Here is a 14,101-nt window from a genome sequence, read left to right on the forward strand (position 1 = left end):
GCAAATTTTAGAGATGTGTGAAATCCATTTCTCCCTCTGAACTTGCCATTTCCTAGTTTATAAATCAGAGATTATTGTTTCTTCTCTTTTATCTTAAAAATTCAAAAAAATTTACAGATTTTTCTATTTACAGGCTTATAAAAATGTGGAAATCTAGAAAAGCATAAAGAATAAAATAAAATTCTCCAGTTATCCCATCCCTCAGATATAGAAGTGCTGGGAAGAGTGTAGTCCCTTTAAATGATACAGAAGGGGGAAGGGAACTGCTGGGGACAGGAGGGCATGGTCCCTGGCTAGGGCGCCACCCAATGGACCTGCGTGAGGTCAGGCATTTTTGTTTCCCTGCCCAAATGTTGCATTTCCCAAGACCACCCTTGGCCTGCCACGCCCCCATCCTGTGCCTATAAAAGCTTGAGACCCTGGCAAGGCAGAGACAGAAATGGCTGGACGTCGGGAGGAGCACATCGGCGGAGGAACACACAAGTGGCTGAACGTCAAGAGGAACGCACCAACAGGCACCGGCACACCGGCAGGCCGCCGACCGGCAGAACGACACAGAGTTTGGCTGGGGCAGTTAGAGGAGTGCTGGGGTTCCGAGAGGCCTGACTCCAGGGAAAAACCGTCTCCCTTCTGGCTCCGCCATCTGCTGAGAGCTACGTCCACTCAATAAAACCTTGCACTCATTCTCCAAGCCCACATGTGATCCAGTTGTTCTGGTACACCAAGGCCAGAACCCGGGATACAAAGCCCTTTGTTCTTGCAACAAGGCAGGGGTCTAATTGAGCTGATTAACACAAGCCACCTATACAGACGGCTAAACTCAAAGAGCAGCCTGTAACACAGGCCCACTGGGGCTTCAGGAGCTGGAAACATTTACCCCTAGATACTGCCATGGGGTCGGAGCCCCACAGCCTGCCCGTCTGTATGTCCCCTAGAGTTTTGAGCAGTGGGGCACTGAAGAAGCGAGCCACGCCCCCATTGCACGCTCTGCGAGGGGGACAAGGGAACTTTTCCTGTTCACAACCACTATTAACCCTAAGGCACCTTCACTCCTAGTGTTCTTTCTGTAGCCCACTGTTGTGGTTTTTGTCTACAACATTAATTATATCTGACCGTTTTTCCCCTGTAGATATAAATTCTGCATACACAATTTTTAACAGCTGTATAATTTATGGTGTGGCTGTGGCATAATTTATTTAACCAGTCATCCATACTTAGACATTTTGTATTTTTGACTTCATACATAATTCTATGAGAAATATCTTCACCTCTAAATCTTTGTCCACTTTTCTGTCGGGTGGATTTCATGGTGTGGGATGACTGGGTTAGTGGTTATTGATCCTTTATATTACATTGATCTATTTTGCCAAAGTGTCCTTCAAGAAGACTGTGCTGATTTTCAGCTACATCAGCAGTGGGATGGTGTGCCTGTTTCTCAATACTCAGGATAAGATTATAAATTAAATTTCTTAAAAATTGAGACAAAATATAACAAGACCTTGTTTAAACATTGATTACTTTTATTCCTATTAGTAATCTATATTTAGAAAAACTTGCAGCCTAAACCAATTAGGAAAACCAATAGTTGAAAACATTGTAGCAAATCTTTATTGTAATTGTAATAGCACATGGATAAATTCTGATATAACTTGCATGGAACATTTCTTTTTATGACTTCTTGTGGGCAGCGTCTTAAATATGGAAGAAGTTGGACTCTGGGTTGATTGGAAGCCTCTTTTGCCACAAAACCTTAACAGAGAAAATGGACTCTCTTTATGGTGACAAACATATTAAATTAAGATTTATATTTACTCTAAAGAGAGATATTTCTCAAATTCTAAGTTATTTGCATTTAAGGAAGAAGACAAAAAATGGCAGTAATAGTAAATTATAATGTAAAAAAATTAACCAGAATTGCAAAGTTGAGCTTATATATTGTTAAAGGATATCAATGATATCATTTATTATTTTTAGACTCGATACACCTTGTATTTTACATTATTTTAATGTGAATTACAAGAGTTTGAAACTATTGCATGTGTCTTTGATTATGGCATAGTCTCATGAACACTACTAACTTTGTGTTGGGTTTTGAAAATCTTCTAAGCACTTCCTCTCCCTCAACACGTAGAAACAATAAACTAACACCCCTAAGATTATATTGAAGTTGCCTTAAAACTCAGGAGTGAATAAGTGGTTTCTATTAACTTTTCAAAGGAATGCATGTTATTTTCTTTGGGAGATGATCTCGGCTCCAGAGAAAGGGAAAACAGCTACATTATTTAAGGCAAAATTATCTGCCTGTTTTCCAAATGGACACAATTTTCTTTCATTTTACCCATTATAGTAGTGGGAGACATGTTTTATAAAAAGTGGAGTTATGTTCTATTAATCTGGGCATTTTAGATTTTATAAAATACCCAGATTTTTATCAAGCTGCCCAGAATGTCACAACTGTGGGGTTGGAGCCCCAGAGCCTGCCCGTCTGTATGCCTCCCCTAGAGGTTTGAGCAGTGAGGCACTGAAAAAGCGAGCCACACCCCCATCTCATGCTCTGTGAGGGGGACAAGAGAACTTTTCCTGTTTCGCAACCACTATTAACCCTAAGGCACCTTCACTCCTAGTGCTCTTTCTGTAGCCCACTGTTGTGGTTTTCGTCTACAACAAAAGCACACATACACACACACACATAGGTATACACACACGCGCGCGTCTGTCACCAGGCTCTGTGACATTCTGTACAGCTTGATAAGGTCCCCAATAAGACATAGTATGAAGTATTGGAGGCTGCTTAGTGCATCTCATTGTTTTTACAGTTCTGTAATTGTATATATATTGAATTTTCAATGTTTCCCCCTCAAACTTAAGGTATTAATGGATGCTTTTCTTTTTATTCTTACAGTGTTTTTACAAATGGAAGATTATTTATTCCACCTGCAAAAATCATTATACCCAAATTTAGTCTGTCCGATTGGGACATCGTGCTGGCCACGATCGGAGAAAAAGTCTTCCCTCTAGGAGGCGTTCGGAAGTAAGGAGACTCTCGCCTTTAGGACAGCCAGGGGGCGGCAGCTTGTGTTTATTCTTTCTATGAGAGTTTTCTGCCTGGACCAGCAAGGTCTAAAATGATTCACCATAAACTCTTAATTTTAATTCTTCAAGCAGATAGTATTTTCTCAGTCTTGGTATTACACTTACTTTTAACTGGCCTCATTCATTTATTCATTCAACAAACCATTGAGCATCTACCATGTGCTAGGGGTGGAGAATACAGCATTGCAAAAAAGAGTCTTGCTCCCTGAAACCCCTATTGAGTGGGCCGACCGTTCAAGTTGCTAGAATGCTGCAGTTGGTATAATGAGGCCTCTCAGTTGGTCTGGAGGAGCCAGGCCTGGGGGAGCTGGTGTTTGGATTGAGTCTTGGCAGAGATGGGGGAAATGAATGCCATGGGACAGAAGAGCATGTGGGAGGGAGGTAGTGTGTGTAATGGCCTCTAGCATGTGCCTGGGGGTCTGGCGTGGAGCAAATCTCCTCTCCGCCATCTGTGTCTCGGTTACCTTGGGCACATTCCTAACTCCTCAATGCATGTTTTGTCATCTGGAAAACTGGAAATGATAATAATACCTACTTCCAAGGGTCCTCATATATGTAAAGTGCTTAGCAAAACACTTGATGCATAGTAGGCGTGAAATGGGTTTGTGATTATGATTGCGACAGTGGATGAGGCACAAACAAGCAGAGTGTGTTGAGGGAGCACGACACTGTCATCATAGGAAATTCAGCCCTATTGTGAGGGAAGTGGCCAGCCCCAAGGCCAGAACTTAGGTTCCACAAATACTTTACAGACCAGGCAAGGGGCTTGCTGTCTTGCAGCCAGTGGGTCCCATTTGCATGAATGAAAGCTCACAGTGGTGCTAGTCATGATGATGGACTGAAGGTGGCAGGTGAGGGAGGGGCTCCGGGCCTGGTGGCTGTGAAGATAATCTGGGTTGGCCTTCAGCTTTAACCATATGCACAGGCTGAAATGGAAGGGATGGGAAAAATATCCCATGCAAGTGGAAACCAAAAGAGAACAGGGGCAGCTGGACTTACATCAGACCAAATTGACTTCACGTGAAAAACTGCAGCAAGAGCTAAAGAAGGTCACCACATTAGGTTAAAAGGGTCAGCCCATCAAGAATATACAACAATTATCAATATATATATGCAACTGTCACTGGAGCACCTAAATATATAATATGCAAGTATTACCAGAACTGAAGGGAGAGGTAGACAGCAATACAATAATAGGAGGTGACTTCAGTACCCCACTTTCAACAATGAATACATCATCCAGACAGAAAGTCAATAAGGAAACCGTGGGCTTGAATAACAACATAAACCCAATAGACTTAACAGACTGCAGAACATTCTGTCCACCAGCAGCGGAATACACATTTTTCTCAAGTGTACACAGCATTCCCCAGGATAAATCATATTAGGCCACAAATCAAGTCTTAGCAAATGTAAGACTAAAATCATATCAAGTGTTTTTTCTGACCATAATGATACAAAGCTAGAAATCAGTAATAGGAGGAAAATTGGAAAATTCACAAATATTTGGAAATTTAACAGTGCATTCCTGAACAACCATTGGGTCAAGGAAGAAATCAAAAGGGAAATAAAAAAATATCTTGAGAGCAACAAAAATGGAAATAAATACTAGAATTTATGGGATTCAGCAAAACCAGTTCTAAGAGTGAATTTTATAAAGAAAAATGCCTACATTGGCCGGGTGCGGTGGCTCACGCCTGTAATCCCAGCACTTTGGGAGGCCGAGGCCGGTGGATCACCTGAAGTCAGGAGTTCAAGACCAGCCTGGCCAACATGGTGAAACCCCATCTCTACTAAAAATATAAAAAATTAGCCAGGCGTGGTGGCGGGAACCTGTAATCCCAGCTACTTGGGAGCCTGAGGCAGGAGAATCTAAATGGACTCTAAAAATGGGAGAAGGACTCTAAAAAGGGAGAAGGCTGTGTCTTGCGAATGGACAGAAGGAGAATGGGGGCAGTGGGAGGGACATGGAATGGGAGGATTGCCGAGCAGGGTTGAGAGCCCTGCTGGACTGCACGCTGAAGATTTGTAGTGGAACCAGCCTGCAGTTGCATGTGTTCTCGGGCACTCAGCAGCTGGGGATGAGAGAGGAGAAGGCAGATGGGCAGTTGGTCCATGAGGTGAGAGCAGAGAGGGACAGGGAGGGATGGAGGCTCATGGCACAGCAGGCGGAGCCATTGCTGGTGTGGACATGAAGCCACAGTCAGTTGGGTGGCATCAGGCCCAGCGTCCGGCTGTTGGTGCAGATTAGAGGAAGGTGAAGTGGGAAAGCGGGAGACTGGGAGGCCAAGAGGCTGCAGAGGCAAGGTCGAGACATCCACCTGGGGATGCTTCTGGGCACTAATGAGGTGTGAAGGACTGCCCTGGGAGGGGCTGAGAAGGCGCAGGGGAGATGAAGATCTTTCAGGCTGAGAAGTGGGAAAACGCCGTGCAGCAAGGAGAGTTAGGAGGAGGCCGCCGTGGGCAGTGATGGTCCCCTGATGGTAGACGCTGTGGTGGAAGAGCAGAAACAGTTAATCCTGCCTTATGCTTTTGTCAGTTAACTCTCCTTTGGGGGTAGATTAAAAACATCCAAGAGTGATTTACAGTCAACAGTTGTGATACCAACGATGAAAACTGATGTCCACTTTTGAGTAGGATGTAAACTGTCGAGCCGTTTAGAGCAGTGGAGCCATGAGTAACCTCGTGGCAGTGGCGACGAGCAGGTGGAAGTTAGATGTTTGTGCACAAGTCTGTACCGGGAATACCTCCATGCTCCCAGAATGCAGCTATAAATATTAGTGTATTATTCTCAAAGAAATAAAGCTGTGTGCAGTAGATAGACCTGTGTATACTTCTGGGAGAAGCTAGAAATGATAGTGGAAGAAATCTATTATTTATTTATTTACTTATTTATTTTTAGACTTGCTCTGTTGCCTGGGCTGGAGTGCAATGGTGCAATCTCGGCTCACTGCAACCTCCACCTCCCAGGTTCAAGTGATTTTCATGCCTCAGCCTCTGGAGTACCTAGGATTACAGACGCCCGCCACCATGCCTGGCTAATTTTTGTGCTTTTAGTAGAGATGAGTTTTTGCCATGTTGGCCAGGCTGCTCTTGAACTCCTGACCTCAGGTGATCTGCCCACCTCGGCCTCCCAAAGTTCTGAGATTATGGGCATGAGCCACTGCACCCAGCCTTGGAATAAATCTTAAGTATCACATGTAGAATGATAGTAGTGAAAGTCGGAGAGAAAATTCTTTTATGGTAGAAGTAAGGAAGGGAACAGAATATTTGAAGGGTAAAAAAGACATTAGATCAATAAACTAATTTATTTTTTTCCTGGACTTAAATTAGTTTTTTATGGTTGGGTTTAGCAAAAGTGCAGAGCTTAGAAATAAAAGAAATGCTTAGAAAGTACAAATACTGAGCTTGAAGGAGTGAAGCAATATGCACATGAACAGAATTAAAAAAAATCAATGTGTGTGTTACTTTTGAATGGGAACTACAGCTACTGTTTCTCATGCATTTGAGACATTATTTATATTTCTCTGTATTTATCGTTCCTTAGATAATGCTAATATGATTCAGCTGAGATTTCCATCACACCTTTTCCTTGTGTGGGTTAGAAACGAAGACAGTTCTTTTTTTAGGAGACTCTGTTGTCTAGGCTCAGTGCAGTGGCACAATCACAGCTCACTGAGCCTTGACCTCCTGGGCTCAGAGGATCCTCCCACCTCAGCCTCCTGAGTAGTTGGGACTACAGGTGTGAGCCACCACTCATGACTAATTTTTTTTTTTTTTTTGGTAGAGATGAGGTCTTGCCATGTTGCCCAGGCTAATTATTCTTCGTGGTATTAAAATTACTTGATTTATTGGATAGTTTGAACTTTTGGAATAATGTATCCAAATAGCTCAGAGAAATACTTAAGTGAAATTCTGTAGGTCTCTGTGCAAGACAATTGCTGATCTCGGTTGGAAAAAGGCGCTCGTAGAGGCTGTTGGCTGAGTGCCAGGGAGGCAGCCATGAGCAGAGCAGTCTCGGTCCTCAGCCCCACTGCAGCCCAGCAGAGAGGAAACACGTCATGTGAGCAGCTACGGTGAGGGCAGCATGTTCTTGAGAGGGAGCACACGGCCGGGGGAGCCCAGACTAAGAGACCTTCCAGAAGAGATGCGTGCTGTAAGAACTGAAGGACGCGGAGGAGCTGGGGCAGGAGGGCACCTTCTCACATCAGCACCCTGTGGGCCTCTTGTGCCTCACCTAGGCCAGGCCCTGGCCAGGGAAAGTGGGAGTGGATGGGGACGAGCACGACCCACTCTAAGAAAGGAATGACGTTTAGTATGGAGCGGGGGACATGGAGGATGAAAGAGGGCAAGTTGCCTGAGGTTGACAATTCTGAACATTTTTTCCATGCCGCCTGCTGGAAGGAAAAGGTGATGAGCTATGCTTGTGAATTTCTCTGAGGCTAAAGTGGAATGATCTCCACTCTCCGTTTTCAATTTCCCACTGTCCGTTGAGTATATACTCTGCACCGTACACTATTCTAGGAGCCGGGAGGTGATAAACAATCAAACAAAACATCTGGAAGAACATGTTCCTTGACACTGAGGATTGCACAGCCTTGCTGGGAGATGGATCCCCTAAGGGAAACAGATACACTGCAATCAGAGGCAGTGCTGGGGCTGAGCCAGTGAGACAGAGGAGGACCTTGAGCCCTGGGGGAGTTCTCAGAGCAGAAGGCGTTGAGAGGAGTTGAAGAAGAAGGCTTCATAGAGGTGGCGGATCTGTCCTGGGTTCTAAAGAAATGGGTAGTGGAAGTAAGGGAGGTGTTCTGGGGTGGGGGGACTGTGTGGACAATGGCCTGGCCCTGGGAGCGAGGAGGTGTGAGAGGGCCCTGAGGGAAGCAGGGCCTGGCTGTAGTGAAACTTTCTGGAAAATGCTGGGAGATAGGTGTGGATACCCAGGGCTGCAGCGGTTACAGATGGCCCTGGTGGCTACATGCAGAGTTTTACGATGTTCTAAGAGCTAATGATGAATGCCAGGGCGGGACACACATGCACGCAGCACACAGCACACACATGTGTGTTCCCGTGGCCCACACCTGTGAACTGGCCCCGGCCCCTCTGAGGCAGGAGCTTCCCGCCTCGGTTTCTGTGCAGGGCTCAGTGTCAGTCATGCTGCCCTGCATCGTGGGCACAAATGTCCCTTATCCACTAGCGGGTGTTCGGAACATCAGCATCCGTGATGTAGGCGACACTCATTCTGGAGAGACCATGGTGAACCATGAACTTGAGTTTGCCCATCTTGACTATCCTGATTAGGAAAGAGAGAAGCCCCCACCCCAAAGGCAGTGAAAGGTCTGAGGGAGGCGAAGTGGGCCATTGTCATGGAGCAGCCTGGCCACCACCGTTAGTGGCAGCTGCTTGCCCCAGTGGACGTCACTTCTGGCTCAGCACAGCGTGTCCTGTGTGTCTTGCCTGGCCCAGGGAGTAGCCCAATCGCAGCATAGGTGCAAGGTGCAGGGCACACACTGGACACGTTGGGTGTGGCCTGACCTCGCCCATCTCGCAGTAGAAGTGATATCTTTGGCTTCATAACATACAGAACCTTTCTTTATTTGTTGATCAATTCAACAAATATTTATTGAGAGCTTGAGGGGTTTCCATCTAAGCCCTGAGGGGATGGGGTGAGTATGGTCCTCACAGGGCAGACACTGTCTAGTGGAGAGACAACAGATGCATGCTCAGGAGCAGACCCCTGATAAATGCCATGCCAGGGGTGGCACAGAGGAATGAAGCAGGGCAGGGCTTGCGGTGAGTCACTGGGCTGGTCAGGGCGGGCTTCTCTGAGAAGGCGACATTTGAGAACACATCTGAATGGCACAGAGAAGTAAAACACATCATGATCTGGGTGGAGATCGTCCCCATCAGAGGGACCCTCAGGCACACAGCCTTTGTGGTGGGAAGCCACCGGTGGCAGGGAAGTGCCTGGTGAGGGAGGGCAGGAGCTGCTGAGCCCGGGAGTGAAGGCTGCTTGCAGACCTCGCTGAGAGGTTTGGGTAGTGAGTGTGGTGGGAATCCATTGGCGGATTCTGAGCATGGAGTGTCACCACCTGACTCCGGGGTGGGATAGGAGACTTGTTTGGAGGCTCCTACAGGTGATCTGGGGGAGACCACAGTGGCTGGGGCAAAGGCAGGCAGGTTTTGGCTGCATTACTGTATGCAGTGGGACTTGCTGATCAACCTCATGTAGGAATGAGTGAGCGAGAGATGGGGGTGGGGGTGGGGAGTGTGTGGTGGGGGAGGTGATGCGGGAGGGGAGAGGAGGGAGAAAGAGAGGAAGACTCCCAGCCTTCTGATCAGAGCAGCTGGGTGACTGTCGGTACCATTCCTGACAAGGGGGAAGTGGGAGGAGGAACAGGTTTTGGGGGAGTTAAGAATTAATTTTTGGACGCGTCCAGTTGGTGAGGCATGTTGGACATCAGAGTGGGATGCGCCAGGCTGGATATGTGAGTGTGAAGTCAAGGAAGAGATCAGGCTGGAGAAACAGACACACAATCTGAGTGTTGTGGATGGTATTGACGGTTGAGGTGCTGGGTGGGATGGAGTTGGTGTTGGAGGAGGCACCTGAAGACTGAGTTCTGGGCTCAGCTTCCTGATAAATAGCCCATCAACCTTGGACTATGGTTATTTGTGGACTTGTCATCTCTCCTCTAGTATATTTTAAGCTCCTTAAAGTTTGGGACCCTGTCTGATAAATCTCTGCTTTTTAGTCCCTTAATGGGGGGAAACTGGCTGAACTAACAGCTGAGACCCATGAGCTTGGAGTCCAGGGTTCAGGGTACCCAGTGAGACCCTGCATCCAGAGATTTTGAAGCCTTAGCTGAAAATCACATCTATCTTTTAATCACCACATGGTCTTGAAAAGGAAGCTCATTAAACATAAATATTTTAAAATTCTTGTAAGATAGACTGTACCTTTATTTTGGGAAAACAGCCAAATTGGCTGTTTTATTGGTAAAGGATTTAGTTTAATTTAGAGATATTTACATTTTCTACTATATCCCCAATCTTTAAGGTTCATTAAAAATCATTTAATAATTGACATTTTGGTAATGTTTTCCAATTTAAAAAACAATTTTGCAAATGGCCGTTGCATTTAGTGCTCACATTTTCTGATATAGGTAATAATAGAAATACCTAGTGTTTAGCATGTTATGATGCAAAGCACTTTGATTTATGTGCATGATCTCATTTGATATCCATATTCTGGCTATTCATTTCCATGAGACTCACACTTCAGTAAAAGCCGCCGTTCTCCGTATGTGATGTCCCGGCTCACATTTCTATGTCTGTGTGAGTGTAATCTGAACATCACATACAGGCTCACATCTTCACGTGGATGCATGCATCACGTTCTGTCTGGAACTTCCTTCCTGTCTTATCCCACTGAGGAATTTCTACTTCCCTTCACCCTGTGAGTAGACTTTGTACCTCTCTTAGAAGAAAATGAGGCCGAGATGAGTTTAGGGAAGAGTCCGAGGGGAATGTGCCTGAACCGTTTGTTCCTCCAGCGTGTGGGCGGCCAAGGTGTCCTGTTGGCCCCATAGGGTTTAAACCACAGTTTGGTGGCCATGGCTCTGTCTCCACTCAGCGGGCATCTCCCAAGTCCTGCGCTGAGCTATCCACAGTCCTGTTCTTTGGTATCTATAGTTCCATCCCTGAATGAAAAGCACACAACTTCCTAGAAGCAAACAAATGAACACAAAAACAGCCAGTTTCATTCCTGCAAGACCCCTGCTGCTGGAAGGAAAACCCGAAATGCCTTTGGTTTATGCAGAGACATTCCAGTTGAGTTTTTTCGGGTGCATTTTTTACAGTTACCCAGCTGCTGACAGCTCATTTTCCCCTCTACCCCCCTCCACCCCAAGCCATCAGCCCCACTCCTTGCCTTCCTCTGCCTGTTCCCGGCTCCATCATTCTGCTCGGCACCCAGAATCCCCGGATCCACGCTGGACACTGCACACACCTTCTCCCTCATCTGCCAGTCAGCAAGCCTTGGAGATTCTGAGCTGATTGATTTCCATGTCTTCCCCCTCCCCAGCCAAGAACATAAGCACGATTTTCTGTCCCTTGGTCTCCCCTCAACAGCCCCTATCGCATGGCTATGATCAAGAATTGAATTTTGGGTTATGATGAATATGTTTTCTTTGATCTTAGCTTTTTTAAAAAAGACAACACAAATTGGTCCTTGTATTTGGTCACCTTTACTTCACGTCATTCTCATAGCAACTCCTGGATTCGCTGTTCCTTTTATTTAACCACGTCCTCTAAAAATTTTCTTGGCGTGGGTGTCTGTGTGGCGAATCTCCTGAGGCCTTGTAAGCCTGAGGACATTCTAATCTTGTCCTTTCTGTTTACGTGAGGGTCTGGCTGGCTTTAATGTTCTTTCCTTCTAGATTTTGAAAATATCACCGTCTTTCCTGTCTGTGTTGCTGCTGAAAGGCCCCGGTTGGTCCTGTCCTGCCGGGCGGTATGGCCAGGTCTTTCTCCCCAGTGCCTTTAGGATGCTGTCTGTGACCTTGGGTGTCGCACTCAGATGTCTGCCGGCGAGTTTTCCTGCAGTTTCTGTTCTTTGGCATCCATGGACTCTTTTACCTGTGGCTTGTCCTCTTTCCTCAATTCCAGGAAATTAATTTTCATGATTTCTGTACATATTTCCTCCTTCCACTCTTACTGTAACTTCCTTTTGAAATTCTTTTCACCGGTGTCGGCACATCTGCTCACCCTCATCTCTCAGCTCTTCTTCTGCAGATCCTGTTTCTTTCTTCCTCCCTGCTTTCCTCTAAGGGCATTCCTCAGTTTTACCTCCAAACAGCAGCTTGCACCTGCTCCATGTCCATTCTACGACTCACCCCTATTGTGATCTTTCTTTCCACGACTTGTGTTTCACATCAGTATTTCTACTTGCTTCTGTTTTATGGTTTCATATTCTTGTTTCATACCGGCAATATCTGCCATCTCTTTGATGGCATTTTTCATATTTGTATGTGAATTCTTGGTCTGTCTGTTCCCACCCTTCAAAGCCTTGCTGTTTGGCCCCCGGGAGCAGTTGCTTTGGGGGTGCCCTCTCCTTAGGACCATCGTCAGTCCCCCACTTCCCTAGTGAGGCTTCTGCATGTTCCTGATTTACTCCTGGGGATTCTGGCACTGGCTGTCCAAGTCCACCAAAGGGGACTGACTGTCCCCAGGCCCCAGCGGGAGGAGAACAGAATTCCAAGCATTGGGTTTCCCATGGAAGCCTCTGCTCCAGGTGGGCCCACCAGCTCCCCAGGTGCAGCTCCGCCATGCCTCTCCCAGGTTCCTGTCTTGACGCCTCCAGGGTCGGTCTCAGGCAGCAGCTCTCGGGATGGGACCCAGGAGAAGCAGCAGCTTGTCAGCCAGGAGCTTGTTAGAAATGCCACACACAGGCCTTATCCAGGCCTCCTGAGCTGGGAGCTCTGCAGTGGGGCCCAGAACTCTGAAGCTGACCCTCTGGGCAGCTCTGACGCCCAGCTCTGCGGAGGGATAGGTTCTATAGATTCCTCCTTTCCATGCCCCCTGCATTTCTTCTCTTCTTCTGCTCCTGCACTTCCTGCCCTAATTCATTCCTTCCTCTCAGGCTCTTGCAGAAGCTCTGAGCCTCCTCCCACAGGGGCAATTCTTCCTCAGTCACATCCTGGCCACAGCTGCCCGCTCACTAGTGCTAAAACATAGCCCTTATCCTCTCTTCCTTGGAAATCTTCATTCTGATGAAATTAATGATAAATGCTCCTCCCCGGAATTCAAGGCCCTTTGGAAACTGCCCCTGTCCTGCACAGTCACAGCTGTGCCTGCACCTCACCCTCAGTGACTGTCAGTTCCCCTCCTCGCCCTGGCTTCTGGCCTTTTTACAGCACCGTACATGATGAAATCCCACCTACCCTGCCGACCCTGTTGCAAGTTCCTCCAGCTCTGTGAAGCCTGCAGCTGGGTTCAGCCTTTCTCCTCTTGGGACCCCAGCCCTTTGCACTTCTCTTGTCATATTTAGCTTTGTAGGCTTTTGTGTGCTTCCTGACTTTGGGGAGGCAGAGACTTTCTTTTGCTTATTTTTATCTAATGCATTGCCTACCTCATTGTCTTATGCATATAGAGGCTCAGCATTGAGTTAATTGTATCATTTCTTAAATAAACTAGTGAAGGAGTACCTGCTGAAAAGGATTACTGAGTAAAAAGTAGACTAATATTAGTCTTTTGGTGCTTATAAAAATGCATATTATTTGCTAATAAATCCTGGTTTGTTTTCCAAGTATTGTTATAACAATGTGGGCCAATTTGTATTAATTTTAGCTGTTATTAGTTAAAATTAATTGAACACTAACCAAGAGTGTAACATGGTTCTCAAGAGCCTATGAGCACTTGTATATAATTAAAAATACACTTTAATTAAAAAATCTAAAAGTGGAAAGCAAGTCTAATCCTGGAAGAGCAGTTCCCGTCGGGTTTAATTGGCCCGTTTGGATAACACGTGCTTACGATGAGCACTGTTTCTCCAGCGGTCCATGCACTAGTCATGTCATAGTGTATGCACAAATACCCCAAGCCCTATGCTACTGGTCCTCAAGTCTCTATCTCATTTCTTCTTTCTGTTTTTACAGATTATTTACAATGAATGGGCATCTTTTGGGCGACTCAAAGGATTTGCAAGACAATCACTTTTATGTTGCTGTGGGACTGGAGACCTTCAAATATTTTCCTTACTGGAAGTCTCCAAGGGTGCCCAGTGAGGTCCAACAGTGAGCATGCTTCGTACCTTTCTTTCCTGAGTTTTGGAAAAAAATTAGCCTTTTCCCCAGTATCTCTCCCAAATAGGTCCAGTTCAGCTATTGGTTATTTTTCAGTAGTGAAATGTAATATTCTTATTTAATGTATGATACAATTTTAGATTTTAAAAATGAGGCGTGGGGGAACTGCTCTTGTATGATGTATTCACAAGGACAGCAAGATCTACACA

The 14,101-nt window shown here is 46.0% G+C and overlaps 1 protein-coding gene across 11 annotated transcripts in view; it reads left to right on the forward strand.

The window, feature by feature from the left end:
- Positions 1 to 14,101, forward strand: part of DCDC2C (doublecortin domain containing 2C) — a 144,434-nt gene that overhangs the window by 35,443 nt on the left and 94,890 nt on the right. For 9 of the 11 annotated variants that reach the window (XR_007081579.1, NM_001287444.2, XM_047445725.1 and 6 more), the window contains exons 4-5: positions 2,903 to 3,031; positions 13,746 to 13,883. Coding sequence is in view for 10 of the 11 variants with exons in the window: in NM_001287444.2 (NP_001274373.1) it covers positions 2,903 to 3,031; positions 13,746 to 13,883 (267 nt within the window). In the remaining variant the exon portion in view is untranslated. The remainder of the gene's footprint in view (positions 1 to 2,902; positions 3,032 to 13,745; positions 13,884 to 14,101) is intronic. The other 2 variants (XM_047445726.1, NM_001365580.2) reach the window with 1 other exon arrangement.

This window comes from Homo sapiens, chromosome 2, assembly GCF_000001405.40.
Source record: "Homo sapiens chromosome 2, GRCh38.p14 Primary Assembly".
In the NCBI taxonomy this organism is placed as follows: domain Eukaryota; kingdom Metazoa; phylum Chordata; class Mammalia; order Primates; family Hominidae; genus Homo; species Homo sapiens.